Source organism: Homo sapiens, chromosome 6 (assembly GCF_000001405.40).
Source record: "Homo sapiens chromosome 6, GRCh38.p14 Primary Assembly".
NCBI lineage: Eukaryota > Metazoa > Chordata > Mammalia > Primates > Hominidae > Homo > Homo sapiens.
The window spans coordinates 36,655,780-36,673,027 of NC_000006.12; the positions used below are offsets into that span (position 1 = coordinate 36,655,780).

Sequence of the window (17,248 nt, forward strand, 5' to 3'; positions counted from 1 at the left end):
ATGGATTACTTCAATGACATGAGATTAACTTTCCTTTATAATGATAGACAAATATTACTACAGTATCCAATAGGTATTTTATGTTTTACCTTCCAATGAGAAAGAGCAACCTACCTTATAGATCTTTTTAAGACATCATTCCAGCCCAGGCGCGGTGGCTCACGCCTGTAATCCCAGCACTTTGGGAGTACAAGGTGGGCGGGTCACCTGAGGTCAGGAGTTCAAGACCAGCCTGGCCAACATGGTGAAACCCCATCTCTACTAAAAATACAAAAATTAGTCGGGCGTGGTGGCACACATCTGTAATCCCAGCTACTCGGAGGCTGAGGCAGGAGAATCACTTGAACCCAGGAGGTGGAGGTTGCAGCGAGCTGCGATCATAGCACTGCACTCCAGCCTGGGTGACAGAGCAAGACTCTGTCTAAAAAACAAAAAAAGATATCATTCCATCATCTTCCAGCCTCTATTGATATTGAAGATAAGTCTGTTGTTACTATATTTGAGTTCCTTTGTAGGTCATCATCTTATTTCCCCAGAGGCATGTAAGATTTTTCCTTTTGTCTTTGGTGTACTGCATTTGCTCATATATGTGTGTCTACCTGTGGAATTAGAAAAATGATTCTGCTCAGGGCTCAATATGATTCTTCATTCTGATGATACATGTTCTATAATAAAGAATTTGTCTGGTTTTCCCGGGAAGGAGCTTCTAAACTCTTGGAATTTCTGAAGAAATAGAAATGTCTTGGTTAATAATGGTGGGACCCTCAGCCCACACCTGGATTTATGCTAATGAGATGACTCACGGTAAGAGCTGGTCACACCAGAATGACCAACTATGTGGTTACAGGGTTGGAGATTTGAGCCACGTGATATCAGCCCAACCTCCTTCAGGGAAAGGAGGTAGGCTGGAGATTGAGTTCAATCTCATGACCAATGATTTAATCAATTATGCATACATAATGAAACCTCAAAACCCTGGATACCCAAAGCTCGGGTGAATCTCCTGGTTAGCGAACACAACAATGTGCTAGAAAAGCAACATGTTGGCCAGGTGCAGTGGCTCACGCCTGTAATCCCAGCACTTTGGGAGGCTGAGGTGGGTGGATCACCTGAGGTCAAGAGTTTGAGACCAGCCTGGCCAAGATGGTGAAACTCCGTCTCTACTTAAAAAATACTAAAATTAGCCAGGCATGGTGGCGCAAACCTGTAGTCCCAGCTACTCAGGAGGCTGAAGCAGGAGAATCGCTTGAACCCAGGAGGCGGATGTTGCAGTGAGCCGAGATCGCGCCACTGCACTCCAGCCTGAGCGAGAGTGAGACTCCGTCTCAAAAAAAAAAAAAAGAAAGAAAAGAAAAGCAACATGTCCTGATTTCACAGGGAGGGGGCATGGAAGCTCCATGTTTGGGATGCTCCCCAACCTCACCCTATGTTTCTCTTCATTTGGCTGGCCCTGATTGTATCCTTATAATAAAACTGCAATTGTAAATGTAGCACTTTTGTGAATTCTGTGAATTATCTCAGCAAATTATGGAAGCTGAGGGGGTTGTGGGACCCTTGAATTGGTAGCCAGTTCATGAGAAGTGTCATTGGCCTCAGGACCCCTGATCTTGCAGCTGACATCTTTGTAGAGCAGTCTTACTGGGGACTGCACGCTTAACCAGTGGAGTCTGCATTAACTCCAGGTGGTTACTGCCAGAATTGCACTGCAGTAGGGCTTGTGTCTTTCTTCACTTTGGAAAGATTTGTGTTAGACACATCTGCCCAGTAAATACTATACTGGGTTACTGAAAAACTTGTAATGACTCTTTGTTGCCTGTTGTTCCAATGGGAGTGCACCCTGGCCCCTCTGCCTAGCATCAAAGACATGCCATTAACTATGGGAGAAATAATGTCTTACCTTTAATGCTAAAATAAGACAGTATAAAAAGAGGCATTATTGGTGCTCTGCCCAGATCTTTTCAGATCTCTCAGGTTCCATTCTCTCTCCCAGTTTCTGTGTGATTTTGTTTCTAAGAGCCATGCACCTGTGACTCTTTTTGGAGGATTACTCCAGGGCTACTGGAACTGCTTCACCCAGGTTCAGAAACTAGTTGCTTATGTCCCCTTAGAGCAGTACTTAGCCCATCTTAAGTACTTAACCAATTTGACAGCTGTGGAAACATGAAAGCCCAGCTTCCTTGCCTTGAGATAAACTCTGAGGTATAATTTAAACTCCAGGCAGGCTGAGCCCAGGACTTTGCCTGAAATTATAGCCTTTCTTGGCTTCATCTTCTCCTCTGTCCTGCTCTTCAAACTCCTTTTATGGATTCTCCTAGGAACACTTCCTTAATAAATCACTTGCCCACAGTCCTTGACTCAGGGTCTACTTCTGGGGAACCTATCCTGAAACAGTTCCCAATTATTCACTACCAAACAGGTTGCCATGTGACTTGCAGTGTCTGGGAGGAGGAGGAGGAATCTATTCCTCAGCCCCAACTGAGTCAAGCTCGGCCATGTGATGTGCTTTCAACAATGGAATGTGATAAAAAAATACTGTATGTCATACATTACTTGACTCCTCAGATTCATCACCTGCTACTGGAATTGGTCTTTTCTCTGGGGAAATACCATGATAGGGGCTGTTCCTTCAGCCTGGGTCTCAGAACAAGACAGGTCAAGCATAACCACAGCTGACACACTAATATGAACAAGGACAAACCTTTATTATTTTAAGACACAGATTTTGGGGTTGTTTCTGCAGCCTAACCTAAAAGATATAATACAGGTAGCATAGCGTAGTAGTCAAGAGCATGCACCCTGGAGTTACATAGCTTGGGGTCAAAGCCAAGCTCTACTACTTACTAGCTGTATAACCTTGGCCAAGTTACCTGAGCCTCAGTTTCTCCATTTGTAAAATGGGGATATGAATGATATCCACCTCATAAGGTTATTGTGGTGATCAAATGAGTTAACATATATAAAGTGCTTCAAATTGTGCCTGGTATATGTTTAATAAATATTAACCAAAGTGCTACAGTTATGAACTGACATGGTTCATTCCCAAATTTCCAATGTTTTCTCCTGCAACCACTGAACTTGTTGGTTGCCTCCTGTAATGGGTTGAATATTTGTGTCCTCCCAAACATTCATATGTTGAAATCCTAACCCCTAATGTGATAGTGTAAGGAGGTGGGGAGGTTGGGCCTTTGGGAGGTAATAAAGTCACGAGGAAGGAGCCCTCATGAATGGGATTAATGCCCTTATAAAAGGGATCCCAGGGAACTCTTGGACTCTCTCTTTCTTTCATATGAGGATATAACAAGACTGCAACCCAGAAGAGGGCCCTCGGCAGAACCCAACCATGCTGGCACCCCCATCTTGGACTTGCAGTCCCCAGAACTATGAGAAATACATTTCTGTTGCTTATAAGTCACTCAATCTATGGTACTTTGTTATAGCAGCCTGAATCGATTAAGACACCTCCCCAGCATCCCTTCCACTCTTCCCACAACTCTCAATTTGTACTTGGGGATTTATGTGGTTCTGAGGAAACTGATTTCATTGAGCCTTAATGTGGCCTCATATGAGCCAAACAACCAGTAGTGTGCTGGTAAACCAGCTCCCAGGAGGATGGGGAGGGAAGCCCAAGTTTCCATGCTGTAAATACTCCCTCATGGACAATGTCAAGCTACCAGTGGTTTAACAACTGGCTGGGCAAAGTTCCCAAATATTTAACAATTGCCTGGTGAGCCAGTACTAGCAGGCTCCAGCACACCACATGCCACCCCTCTAGCCGTGAGTAAGTGCAAACTGCTCCAATCAGTGTGATGCTCAGGACTTTTGCAACTCTCATCAAACACAAACAATTCCCCTGCATGTTTCATTTGCATGCAGATGCATTTGTGCCATGTTTTACGCATGCTCCGTGTGCGGCCAGCAAGATGTGACGGGGTGTGCAGTGGTGTGTGGGCTTTGTTGGGCGTGGAGAGATGAGTGTCATTTGTGTGTTGTGTGTGGAGGTGAGTGCTCGTGTATCTAAAAAGAGCTTTCAATATGCATTAGGTTGGACAAATGAAATTTCAAGTATTTGATCAGCTTTGATCTACATAAAGGGCAATTTCATACGATTCAACCTAATAGATCAAATACACATGAAAATATGTCAGAAGGAGGAAGGATGGAAGGAAGAAGGTAGAGGTGGAGGAGGAGGTAGATCCTACCAGAAGCAAATCCGAAGTATGAGCATTTGGAGTTTTAAAAGCGATGTTAATCCCTCAATCCAAAAAAAGTATTAATTTTGGACAATTCACTACTTTACTGTCCTAACTCAACTACATACCTCTTGGAAGCATCATATTATACCTTACAAGCTTACCTAACACCCTCATTCTTCCAGCCTTGGTGAGAAATTCAGAAAGGTCTCTGGGGAAAGATTTCTGCGAGCACCTTTTGACAGGTTTTGGGGGGACCCTCAGGGTCCCGCTATCCAGGGAGCTCGGTTTCCCCTCAGTGTTTTTCTCCTGTCAATTCGCGGGCAACCAGCGGGGTGTTCGAGACCCTGGTGGGGCGGGCTCCCTCACTTCCGGGACCCCCGGGGAACTCAGCGGTGCGGGGGGGATAACGACTACCATCTAGGTGGGCTGAGAGGATGAAACGAGGAAATACACCGACGACAGGAGCGACAATCTTTTTTTTTTAGACTGAGTTTCATTCTTGTTGCCCAGCTGGAGCGCAATGGCGCAATCTCAGCTCACTGCAACCTCTGCCTCCCAGGTTCAAGCGATTTTCCTGCCTCAGCCTCCCGAGTAGCTGGGATTACAGGCGCCCGCCACTACACCCAGCTACTTTTTTGTATTTTTAGTAGAGACGAGGTTTCACCATGTTGGCCAGGCTGGTCTTGAACTCCTGACCTCATGACTTACCCGCCTCGGCCTCCTATAGTTCTGGGATTACAGGCGTGAGCCACCGCGCCCGGCCTCATGTCTTCATTTTTATTCCCAATAGTTCCCTGCTTGGTTAGGAGTCACTATTAAGTAGTAAGAGGTAAACAGCGGCCGGAGCTCAGGAGGCAGGCAGCGACCTTAGCGTCGCCGCGGCGGGGTCCCCGAGCCCCTGCCTCCCCCTCGGTGGGCGTGGCCGCTTCCCAGAATGCCCCGCCTCCCGCGGCGCGCTAGCTCCGGCGCTGGACTCCCTCCAGGTCACACCGCCTGAGGTCACACCGTCTGGGCCCCAGCCGCGCCTCCGCCCTCAGCGTCTCGCTGCGCAACCCACACACGTGCGTAGCGTGCAGACTCGGACACCTCACGCCCGGCACAGATACACTAGCACTCACCTCCACACACAACACGCAAATGACACAAGTCTCTCTGAGCCCAACAAAGGCCACGCACCACTGCACACCCCGACATCTTGCTGGCGGCACACACAGCATGCGCAAAGCGTCGCACAAACGCATCTGCACGCAAATGACACACACATCTCAGCCTCCACACCAAACACAACTCACAATATATACACAACACTCAACTCTGCTCACCAATGACCTGAATATGTCCCTTGACACACCAAACACAGCACACACAATACACACATTAGTGCTTATACATGCACACACTACAAACACCTGCATTTAGGCAAGAGACTACACGAGTCACTAGCACCCACATAGCGAGTTTCACACCAGACACATATACACCACAGGCATTCTTCCCTCCTCACACGAACGACATGTACATTCCACACTACACCAAATACAAAACATACATTTACACCACTGGCATTCTTCCCTCCTCACACGAACGACATGTACATTCCACACTACACCAAATACAAAACATACATTTACACCACTACTGAAAAAACACATTCATTGCACACAAATGGCATGCGTACGAAGGTTACCCATATACGCTAAATCCAACACACTATATATACAAGCCCTAACGCATGCATGCATCTTACAAGCAACATGGACACATACATAGCAACGTAAACCCAGCACACAAATCCAAATGTGCCACCAGATCCACACTAAGCCCTCTATGCCAAACATGAATAATCACATGTGTAACCACACCTCAGCACACACTACTTATATGTACCACGCCAAACGAAATCACACCCACATCTGACCTACACACCCCTACGTACACCTAGAATGACCAACCGTCCCTGTGTGCCCAGGACTGGCTCGGTTTTAGCATTGAAAGTCCTGTGTCCTTGGAAGCCCCTCAATTCTGCGCTATCCCGAACAGTTAGTCACCCTATGCATTGTTTAGATGAATTATGCCTGGGACCTCAGTAAACACCAGTTATAAAACCTGAGCTGCTGCCAGGCGCAGTGGCTCATGCCTGTAATCCCAGCATTTTGGGAGGCTGAGGCGGGTGGATCACCCGAGGTCAGGACTTTGAGACCAGCCTGGCCAACATACTAAAACCTCATCTCTACCAAAAATACAAAAATTAGCTGGGCATGGTGGTGCAGGCCTGGAATCCCATCTACTCGGGGGGCTGAGGCAGGAGAATCGCTTGAACCTGGGAGGGGGAGGTTGCAGTGAGCCGAGATCGCACCATTGCACTCCAGCCTGGGCCACAGAACAGGACTCTGTCTCAAAAAACACAAAACCTGAGCTGCTGTGGGGGAATAGAGACGGAAGCTGCAGTGGCCCAGAGCTAAGGGAACCCAGGTGTGCCTCACTGAGCACCAAGACCCCCACCTCCTGTCTAGAAGGTGAAATGTGTTTCAGGGAGGAAACGCCTTAAGAACAATGAGGAGCTGTCAACACCTTCCAAAAAAAGGAAAGAAGCAGAGAGGCCTAACCACACCTGACTTAGGGGTTTTACCCTTGGCAAAGCACTTTTACTGAACTTATCTCATCTGATCCTTACAAAAACATGTGAGCATAGGTGCTGTTATGACAGCGATGCCGGAGAAGTCCAGGTCAGACAGATCAGGTCTGGGGGGAGTCGCATCCCCCTGCTTCCCCTACCCAGATTCCTCCTCTCTTGTCAGCTGTCTGCACAACCCCCTTTATTCCCCATCCTGGCTGAGACACCGTGGTTGGAATCAAGAAGCCACCCGTCTTGAGCTACCACCTTCAAAAGCCTTTCATTCCCTCCTAATGGGGCAAGGCGCCAAGGCTGCCCCACCCTAGGGGTGGATTAGGTCTCCGCCTCCCTGTTGGGGTTTAAGGTACATCAAAAGAGCTCCCTGCACCAAAATAGCACTTGCAAGCCCTGCCTGGTAGCCTGAAATGATACCAGGAGAGTCCCCTTTTAGATTAAGGCTTCGTACCTCAAAGACATGTTCAAAGTGCACCTGTGTCCCTGGGAAGGACTCCCACGCTGCAGCCTCCAGCACCTTCACTGGCATTGTCTTGCCTGTCACTCCGTGCATTGCAACAGACATTGCCTAATGCCAGCTTGCTGATGGAATTAGATTGTCTCTAGCAAGACCTGTGGGAATGGGGCACAGGATAGAATAGTTCTGAGCCTGGGTGAGGGAGGGTGTGAGAAGGGTCAGTGACTTAGCGAGGGGGAAACATGATAGAAGAGGTAGAGGGTGTTGAGAAGGATGGGACATGTCCTTGGCAGGAGTGGAGGAGACCCTGAGTCTAAGAAGGAAGGCAGAAGGATTACACGAGCTTTCCAGAGATGACAGGAAGTAAAAAAGGGCTGAGCGTATAGGATGAGCATATTCTGGGGAGTAGGGGTCTGTGCCTGAGGAGGGGGCTATTTGTGGGGGACATTCTGGTTTGTAGGCAATCACAGAGCACTCCTCTGTGGAAGCTGAAGGAAAAAAATGTCATGGCATGGGAAAATGTTTGTGATCTGTTGATGAGTGAAGAAAAAACAGAACATAGAGTAGGATCCCTATTTTGTAACAATAGCTGGAAAGACATCAAAACATTAGTGGTGCTTATCCCCGCTGTATCAAGGGTGACTTGCATTTCTTCGTGGAGCCTTTCTATAGTTTTCAGATTTTCTTCAATGAACTTGGAATATGATTTTTTTAATATCATGAAAAGGATTGTTTCAGAGGAGGATTCATTGATTATTTATTGAGTGCTTATTAAATTCTCCAGTGTTGACACCACATGTGATGTGGAGGCTGGAAGCCATAGTCATTGTTGCTCTTAGCTCTAGTCATGGCACAGAGGTACAGTTCAGTGCAGAAGGACATGGACTCTGGAACTAGACTGCCTGGTTTCAAATCCTTCTTCTGTACCTGTGTGGCCTGGGCAAATGGCTTGACCTTTCTGTGTTTTAGTTGCCTCATCTGTAAAATGGGGGTAATAACAGTACCTGTAAGGATTAGTTGAGCTGATACATGTGAACACTCAGAAGAGCAACTGGTATAAGATAATCACAACCTGAGTGTCAGTGGTTATTGTCATTAGTGGTTAAGAGCTTTGCCTCTGGAGCCAGCCTGTCTGGGTTCAAATCCTTGCTCTGTTTCTGTCTGGCTTGAGAAGTGGTTTCATCTCTATCTCTACCTCAGTTTCCTAATCTGTAAAATGGGGATAAAAGTAATGGTGCCTCATTCCTGAAATGAGTAATGGTGAAAATTAACCAAGTAACTATGGATCAAGTACTTAGAACCGGGCCTCTGTAAGTATGAACTACTTTCATTTTTATTATTACTCTTTCTTTTTTTTTTTTTTTTGATGCAGAGTCTTGCTCTGTCGCCCAGACTGGAGTGTAGTGGCACGATCCCAGCTCACTGCAACCTCTGCCTCCGGAGTCCAAGCGATTGTCCTGTCTCAGCCTCCCGAGTAGCTGGGATTACAGGTGCCCACCACTACGCCCAGCTAGTTTTTGTATTTTTAGTAGAGACAGGGTTTCGCCTTGTTGGCCAGGCTGGTCTTGGACTCCTGACCTCAAGTGATCCGCCTGCCTCGGCCTCCCAAAGTGGTGGGATTACAGGCGTGAGCCACCACGCCCAGCCTATTACTCTTGGTGGAGGCAGAGAATGAGGGTGAGGAATCACACAGCACCCTGTATAGTGCCAGCCTGGGGTCCAGGATGCATAGACGGTTGTGGTGGGCACTGCAGGATGGCCCCATTCTCTCTCTATCTTGCCTCTCCTGTGTCCTCCTTCAGCTCGGGTTATTCTGGTCCTTCAAGTTTTAGAACTGTGGCCCCCCAGGTGTCACATCTGCCCCCCAGAGACCGCTACTTCCCTGATCTTTATTCAGCCACACACACAGGTGGGTTGATGGTGAAACCGATGAAAGGAGGCTTCTAGGACTCTCATTTGCATAGGGGTGCCTAGTATTATAATTGCCTTCTTTATCGTGAAGAAGGCCTCTATCATTGCATAAACTTCAGCCCCACCACACATGGATGGATCTTCTCTTGGTTTTAGGAAGGGGGCTCCCAATTCAGATTTCCACGGCCCCATCAGCTGAAATCTAGCCCCTTTCATTAACTGGATCTGGTCACCAGAGACCCACCCTGGGTGGTATTTTTTGCCCACATGAGCCTGTATATAGATATATAGATAGTCTCTGACTTATGATGGTTCAGCTTATAATTTTTTTACTTTATCATAAAATTGAGGAACATTATCTATCTATCTATCTATCTATCTATCTATCTATCTATCTATCTATCATCTATCTATGTCTATATCTATCTGAATATATTCTTGTATTGGTTCTGTTTCTCTGGAGAACCCCGACTAATACAGTAGGTCTGAATGTAAGTTGTCTTCTTGTTTGGAAAAATCATTCTGAATGGGAGTGACTCTTCGTGATGTAGGTGGATGGGCGGGGCAGCTGGTCTGGGAGACCTCAGTAGGTCTTGTTTCTGCCCCGCAACTTCTGAGCAGGCTTGGACATAAACTTTCAGTCATAAACAAACATTAGGAATGAAGATCCCTGGCTGGGTACAGTGGCTCATGCCTGTAATCCCAGCACTTTGGGAGGCTGAGGCGGGTGGATCACCTGAGGTCAGGAGTTCGAGACCAGCCTGTCCAACATGGTGAAACTCCATTTCTACTAAAAATATAAAAACTTTAGCTGGGTGTGATAGCAGACACCTGTAATCCCAGCTACTCGGGAGGCTGAGGCAGGAGAATTGCTTGAGCCTGGGAGGTGGAGGCTGCAGTGAGCCAAGTTCGCACCACTACACTCCAGCCTGAGCAACAGAGTGAGACTCCATCTCCAATAAAAAAAAAAAAAGAATGATTCCATTCCTCCTCTGCCCCCTCCCCATGTTGTTAGCTGCTTGTAAAACTATGTGTGTTTGTAATAACAGAAAACTAGAGACATCCTAAATGTTCACCCGTGTGTTGAAGTCCAATGCAGCAGTAAAAAGGAAAGGGCAGGATTTCTATGTACTGATGTGGAAAGCCACTAAGATAAATTGAGTGCAAAAACAATGTGCCCAACACTGTGTTTCCATTCAAGCAGATTAAAAATATATATGTATATTGTGTATAGGTCCCCAGCCCCTCATCCACAATTCCCAAATCCAAAAGGCTCTGGAAACCAAAACTTTTTTCTTTGGTTTGTGGCAAATTTATTTGGTAGCAAAACCAGAGCTAAAAGGATGTGAAGCCATTTGCAGTTTTTAATTGTCCCTGTTAGTGTGAATACATTACAGCCCACAGCTAGCAGGACCTACTGTCTTGGTTTGCCTGGGATTGAAGGGGTTCCCTGGACATGGAACTGGAACAGTCTGGGGCAAACTGGCTGACTGCTCACCCTGGGCGGAGCCCGCTGGTGTTGTGGAATACAGGCTGTATGCACTTTATTACCTGTCTAAAATGGGAAAAGTTCTAGATTCTGCAACCCATCTGTGCCCAAGGGTTTCAGCTGAAGGACCTGGATGTTCTTAGACTATCTGTGGGAAGGGGACACAAGCCACCAGCCACAGCCTCTGGGAAGAAAATGGGTAGCTGGAGGGTAGGGGTAGGAGGGAGAGTTTTCACTGAATAGCCTTTTGCATCTTTTGACTGTGGACCATGTGAATGTATTATCTACTGAAAAAATAAATACAGGAAACTATGGACAAACAAAACGCTCTGCACTTTTGACTAAACTACAAATAGAATTTTAAAGATTTTGGAAAAAATAAATTACTGTGATGCTGTCAAAGCAATGCTTGTCTTTTGGATTCTGCTGATTCCAGTGTATCCTGTTCTCAGAGCCACTTGTCTATTGAACCCTAGTCTGGGAGTCTGGCTTTTTGTTTTCTGAGCTCAGGGGGCTGTGTAGGTCTCTCCTAGAGCAGCAGGTAGACTAAAGCTCCTACTTCAGCAGCACGCTCCACAGTCAGGGGTGATTTTTTTTTTTCCTGGTTGGTAGTTATTATTATTTTGAAAAATCCAGAACAATCATGCAAAGCAAGTAGAAACAGGCTGGGCCAGCTGAGAGTGACCATATGCCCTGGGTCTCTTGGTGATATAATTAGCTGTTTTCTTCCAGTGGTGAGTGGGTGGCTCACTCTTCTGGCACCCTGCAAGGCCGCATGATGATGCAACAATGCAACAAAAGACAAGCCCGGGCAAGGCCAGCGGGAGCTCTGCCGGCCAGAGTTGCTGATGCGAGGCGATGCACGGGTGTGGGGAGGGTGTTTCAGGGCTGCAGGGAAGTGGGAGGCCCCAACTGCCCAGGAGGCAAAACTGGCCTCCTGCTCACTCAGCCATGAGCTTTTCTACCCCAAACCCTGGCTCACTCCTTCCTTCCCTCCTCCCTGTTCAGTGGCAGAATCTATTCCTAGTTCACTCAGTCTCCCAGGGGTTAAAGGGTCCGTTGAGACTTCTAGAAGTGAGATAGAGGGGCCTGTGCAAGGAGAGACTAAATCAGGCTTCCCAAGCCTTGAGGATGGAGGGTGGGGAGCTTTCAATTACCTGGGGAGATTTTTTCAAAATATCTGTACACTTGTGCAGCCGGCAGACCCTTATCCAATTTTAATTCAGTGGGTTGAGATAGGGCTGGCACTTGGAATATGTATTTTAATTGTGTTAATTATTATCTAAGATGGTATTAACGATTTAAAAATATATATTAAGAAGAATAAGCCTACTTTACACCCCAAGACAGACAGGCTGTGCACAGCACAACTCCACTGGTGGGTGCTGTCCACCCAGGCTTCCTAATGGTGCCCTGGAGGGGGTAACACAATGGACCTGCTCCTCTCTCCAGAGGCAGCCATTGCCACTGTTTCCTGTGTCTCTCCTTTTTTTTTTTTTTTTTTTTTTTTGAGACAGGGTCTCACTCTGCTGCCCAGACTGGAGTGCAGTGGCACAATCTTGGCTCACTGCAGTCTCGACCTCCTGGGCTCCTACCTTAGCCTCCCCAGTAGCTGGGACCACAGGCGTGTACCACCACACCTGGCTAATTTTTGTATTTTTTTGTAGAGACAGGTTTTCACCATGTTGCCCAGGCTGGTCTCTAACTCCTGGGCTCAAGTGATCCCTGTGCCTCGGCCTCTCAAAGTGCTGGGATTACAGGAGTGAGGCAGTGTGTGGCCCCAGACTTTGATGTTGACTAGTTTAAAAAGAAAAAGGAAAAGCTGTGTACCAGAAGGAGGAAATTGGGTCCTGCTGTGTAACTTTAGGCTAGTCTCACTGTCTCTTTGTGGCCTGGTTTCCTCCTTTGGGAACTGAAGAGGATCATGCCTACCTCATTTTTCTCAGTCTCTCCGGAGAATGGTAAGATTATAGCTATGAAAGCACCCATTTTAGACATGAAGATATTGAGGTCCAAGTTCATGTTCTGCACAGGTGGCATTCTTCTTATTCTTGTGGCTGCGTCCAGAGACTCAGTAGGAAAAGACCCTCTTACCGGAAGATGGGGGAGAGGAAGGAGTCCTGTCTGCCATGCTCCCAGCTTTGATGGAGATGGCTAGTGGGTCATCACAAATCTGTGCGGCCCTCTGGGGACTACATTGACCTGTGCATCCGGGGGTGCATCCAAGTTCTCACCAATGGAACGTGGGTGGGAGATGATGCCAGTCCCTTCTGAGCCTGGTGTGAAGAAATGCACGTGGCTTCTTTGGCACTTTCCCCTACCTCCAGCTGCAGTCAGAGATCATGAGGCCCCAGGGAATGGTGGAGCCACATGGTGGAAAGAACCTAAGAACCTGAATCACCACACGGAGGGCAGCCACCGGCCCACCAGAACACCTCTATTGGATTCATATGTGAGTGAGAAATAAACTTGTATTTGGCTTGTCACTGAAATGTGAGAGTTTATTTATTACAGGAGCTAGTGTCGTCCTATCACTCACCCTGACTTTTCTTCATAAGTCCAGTCCTAAGCTGCTAGGATGGGCGTAGGAGGAGACATCAGCAATGATTCCTCCCAGCAGATACAGGGTTGTTAGAAACCACTGAGGATAGGGAAGAGGGAGTGACATCTCCTCCCTGGCTCTGAACTTGGCTCTAGTGTGGCCACTAGCATTTGGGGCTTGGGGGTTGCAGCTGTCGCATTCCACAGTGGCCCCGATGGCATTACAATTACAGATGACACTTAGAGCCACCCTAGGGAAGCAAAGGCAAGGACAAGCAGCTGATGGGAGGGGGAGCAGAAGGGCTGCGGCCACAGCCAGAGCCCCGGATCTGCCCTGACCCTGGTCTGTGTCCCCTTAGCCGAAGCCAGCACTTCCTAGGGTCTCCATTTCTCTGTCTGTATAAGCGTCTAATACCCCTGCCCTGGTTGGGGGAGGGAGGAGCATGTGGATGGTGAGGAGTGAGAGAATGGATCTGAAACCTGATGTCCCTGAGATTCCACACTGCTGTGCAATCAGAGGCCCCGAACCCAAGCCCCTCAGCCTATGCTGAGGCTTTTTCTTGGGAGGGGTTTAAAAAATATGTTAGGGAAGAAAAAAAAATCAAAGTGCCCAATTCCTATTATTTTGGGATCATCCAGAAGGCTGTTGTGAGCTAAGGGACCTGGAGGGGGTGTCTTGGGAGCTTTGAAGGCAGCTCACAGGACTGAATTCAGAATCTGTGGGCAGCTCCCTTTGCTGCCAAATGTCTATTCTCAGGTGTCACAATCGTTGAAATTCTTCCATTAGGGCTTCATTCCTTTGGATTACTTTTTGTTTCTATACAAAAATGCAAGCAATGATAATCCCCAATATGTGTTCAGGGCTTTAGACTTGTTCCAATAATCCTAAAAGACACAGACAGACAGTGAGGCCCAGATACCTGGTGTGGCTACTTCTTCAATCATGCTTCTCCTGACAGAGTGATTATCGGGCAACTCGACTCCTAGGTATATAGCCAGAAACTCTTGCACATGTGCCCTAGAAACACGGATAAAAATACTTATAGTAGCCCTATGTGTAATAACAAAAATTGGCGATAACCCAAACCCATTGATAGGAGAAGGAATAATTGGATATTTAAAAAACTGAAAATGGGCCGGGCATGGTGGCTCATGCCTGTAATCCCAAGACTTTGGGAGGTTGAGGCTGAAGTTTGAGCTCAGGTGTTTGAGACCGCCTGGGTAACATAGGGAGACACCACCTCTATTTAAAAAAAAAAAATTAGCCAGGCTTCGTGGTGTGCACATGTGGTTCCAGCTACTTGGGAGCTGAGGTAGGAGGATTGCTTGAGGCTGGGAGGTCAAGGCTGCAGTGAGCCATGATCACACCACTGTACTCCAGCCTGGGCGGCAGATTGAGGCCCTGTCTCAAAATAAATAAGTAAATAACATAGAAACCGGAAAACGATTGAATCATGTTTAAGTTACGCATTGCTGCCTAAAAAATCATGTTAAAACACAGTGGCAACCACGATCATTTGTTTGCTCACATTCTATAATTCAGTCGGGGTTTACTGGGGATGGCTTGTCTCTACTTCATGTGGCTCCACCTGGGGAGGTTCAACTGGAGCTGGGGGATCAACTCTCAAAATGGTCCTCCTATGGCTGGCAAGTTGATGCTGACTGTTTGCTGGGAGGTCTGCTGGAACTCTTAGCTAGTGGGCCTTGGTTATCCTGCGTGTGACCTCTCCACAAGACTTCTCACAGCATGATGGTCTCAGAGTAATCAAACTTCTTACATGGTGGCTTAAGGTCTCTAAGAATACAAAAGCAGTAGAAGTTACTATACCTTTTTAAGGCTTAGGTCTGGAATGGGCACAGGGTTACTTCTGTCCCATTCTATTGGCTAAAAGAGTCACAAGCCAGAAATGTTCAAGGGGAGGCAACTACAAAACAGTGTGAATACCCAGAGGTATACCTCACTGGGAGACATTGACTTCCACAAACCACAACTACCCACAACTACATGGATAAATATTAGGTTAGGTTATGCTTCAGTATCAAATAACCTCTACATTTCAGTGACTTCACACACAAATGGTTACTTTTTTCTTATATACCTATCCCATAGAAGTTGGTGGGGCACTCTGCTCCACGCATTCACTCAGGGATCCAGGCTGATGGAGGCTCCACCATGTTGGAGTGGCACCATTGCACCACCTGGGACATGAGACCTCACCTTTGCCACAACTGTGAAGGACAGAAAGGCTCGAGAATTTCACCTGGCCTCAGCTCTAAAGAGACAAATGTCACTTATGCTCACATTTCATCAGCTAGGACTAGTCGCATGATCCCATCTACACTGTAAGTGGGGCTGGAAAATGTTGGAGAACACCTGGAAAAATGGCTGAGCATTACTGTCTTGGCCACATGTGATAGAACTATTTAAAACAAAAAAAGTTTTACATAAGATGCAAGGTAGTGTTCACTTTGGGGTAGGGGTGGAACACACAAGAAAGTGTCAGTGATTTGTAATATTCTAGTTTTTGGTTTGAGCAGTGAGTGTTAATTATTTTTTAAAACAAATGAATGAATGAATGGACAAATGAATAAATAAAAGAGAGGGCTCGAGGCAGCAGCACTGAAGCCTAACCTCACAGTACAGGCCAAAAATGACCCTTCAATAAACATTCACTGAGTTCCCAGCTGAAGCTGGTAGGCCTCTCCAAGGTACAAAGATGAATAAAATATGGGCTCAGCCCCTCTAAGTGCCCAGCTCAGAGGATTCAGTAGACACATAAACCAAGCAGGAGGGCAAAGTACAGTGGAGAGTCTTGCTCAGTGGGAGCTCTGGGAGTAGAGGGAGCCCCGAGTAGGCCTCACCCCAAGTCACATGTGTTGGGTTATGAAGAATCAATAGGAATTCAAAGGTGAAGAATGGAGTGGAGGTGGGGCAAGTTGGTCAGGGACACTCATTTTACCAAGAGAGGAAGATTTGTGCAAAGGCACAAAGAGGCCTTCACCCCTCAGGTGGCCTGTGTTCACAGCATTTCCTCACTGCCTTCTAGTCCCTAAATGATCTGATCAACTTACTCCCTCTGTACTGTACCACCCAGAAGCTTCTGCAAGAGCCAGGCACTTGTCCTCCACAATGGCTGCCATGAGTGTTGGTTGCCGATGGTTACAGCCAAGTCGTTCCTTGGCCTTAGAGGAGGAAGCTCTCTTGCCCGAGGGCATGCACTCCCCTACTGCAGGGGCAGCCACGTTTAGATGACTGTTTGGAAACCCAGGGTGTAAGGGCCTAGCTCTCATGCTTCAATTCAGCGAACTCTGCAGGACCATCCCAGCTCCAGGGCTCCTGGTGGGATCAGCCAAGTCCTCTGTGGGCCTCCAGCCTCCATCAGTTCCCGGTTCTTCTCTCTGCCCAATTCCGTTTCTTTTATATCCAGACAAGTGTTGATTGTGAATGCACTCCCCAATAAACTCCCTTCAAGCAAAACTCTATGTCAGAATGTGATTTCTGGGAAACCTACCTAAGATACCCACTAAAATATAGATAATTACTAAATTCCAAGGGATGCCTTTCCTGGGGATGTTTGTACAGCAATTATCATCATAACTAATATTCATGGAGTGATTTCTATGTGCCAAGCTAAGCACTTTGCTTTTAAGATCATATTTAATGAAGAACAGAGCCTCACAGTAAGAATACATGTCTTTTCTTTTAATTATTTATTTATTTATTTTGAGACAGAGTTTTGCTCTTGTTGCCCAGGCTGGAGTGCAATGGCGCAATCTCAGCTTACTGCAACCTCCGCCTCCCGAGTTCAAGTGATTCTCCTGCCTCAGCCTCCCAAGTAGCTGGGATTACAGGCATGCACCACCATGTCCAGCTAATTTTGTATTTTTAGTTGTAGATTTCTTTGCTCCTTCTCCACTCCCACTGCTTCATTTAACTAGCCTTAAAAAAATTATTAAAAATAAAAATAAATAGGCCTGGCCAGGCGTGGTGGTTCGTGCCTGTAATCCCAGCACTTGGGAGGCTGAGG

General features: G+C 47.0%; 8 annotated features.

Annotated features, from left to right (window-relative positions):
- Positions 5,299-5,418: an enhancer, noted in NCBI's record as "active region_24433". NCBI's record gives its function as "activates an Ori minimal core promoter by ATAC-STARR-seq in GM12878 lymphoblastoid cells {active_cell/tissue: GM12878}" and the evidence as "EXISTENCE:reporter gene assay evidence [ECO:0000049][PMID:35858748]".
- Positions 6,519-7,018: an enhancer, noted in NCBI's record as "H3K4me1 hESC enhancer chr6:36630075-36630574 (GRCh37/hg19 assembly coordinates)". NCBI's record gives its function as "activates a minimal SCP1, AML or CMV promoter by ChIP-STARR-seq in naive H9 embryonic stem cells {active_cell/tissue: H9 hESC(naive)}" and the evidence as "EXISTENCE:reporter gene assay evidence [ECO:0000049][PMID:30033119]".
- Positions 7,012-7,091: an enhancer, noted in NCBI's record as "active region_24434". NCBI's record gives its function as "activates an Ori minimal core promoter by ATAC-STARR-seq in GM12878 lymphoblastoid cells {active_cell/tissue: GM12878}" and the evidence as "EXISTENCE:reporter gene assay evidence [ECO:0000049][PMID:35858748]".
- Positions 10,397-11,178: an enhancer, noted in NCBI's record as "H3K27ac-H3K4me1 hESC enhancer chr6:36633953-36634734 (GRCh37/hg19 assembly coordinates)". NCBI's record gives its function as "activates a minimal SCP1, AML or CMV promoter by ChIP-STARR-seq in naive H9 embryonic stem cells {active_cell/tissue: H9 hESC(naive)}" and the evidence as "EXISTENCE:reporter gene assay evidence [ECO:0000049][PMID:30033119]".
- Positions 11,175-11,654: an enhancer, noted in NCBI's record as "active region_24435". NCBI's record gives its function as "activates an Ori minimal core promoter by ATAC-STARR-seq in GM12878 lymphoblastoid cells {active_cell/tissue: GM12878}" and the evidence as "EXISTENCE:reporter gene assay evidence [ECO:0000049][PMID:35858748]".
- Positions 11,175-11,960: a biological region, named in NCBI's record as "H3K27ac-H3K4me1 hESC enhancer GRCh37_chr6:36634735-36635516".
- Positions 11,179-11,960: an enhancer, noted in NCBI's record as "H3K27ac-H3K4me1 hESC enhancer chr6:36634735-36635516 (GRCh37/hg19 assembly coordinates)". NCBI's record gives its function as "activates a minimal SCP1, AML or CMV promoter by ChIP-STARR-seq in naive and primed H9 embryonic stem cells {active_cell/tissue: H9 hESC(naive and primed)}" and the evidence as "EXISTENCE:reporter gene assay evidence [ECO:0000049][PMID:30033119]".
- Positions 11,353-11,647: an enhancer, noted in NCBI's record as "tiled region #2703; HepG2 Activating DNase matched - State 5:Enh, and K562 Activating DNase unmatched - State 4:PromP". NCBI's record gives its function as "activates a minimal TATA promoter and a strong SV40 promoter by Sharpr-MPRA in HepG2 cells, with weaker activation in K562 cells {active_cell/tissue: HepG2 | K562}" and the evidence as "EXISTENCE:reporter gene assay evidence [ECO:0000049][PMID:27701403]".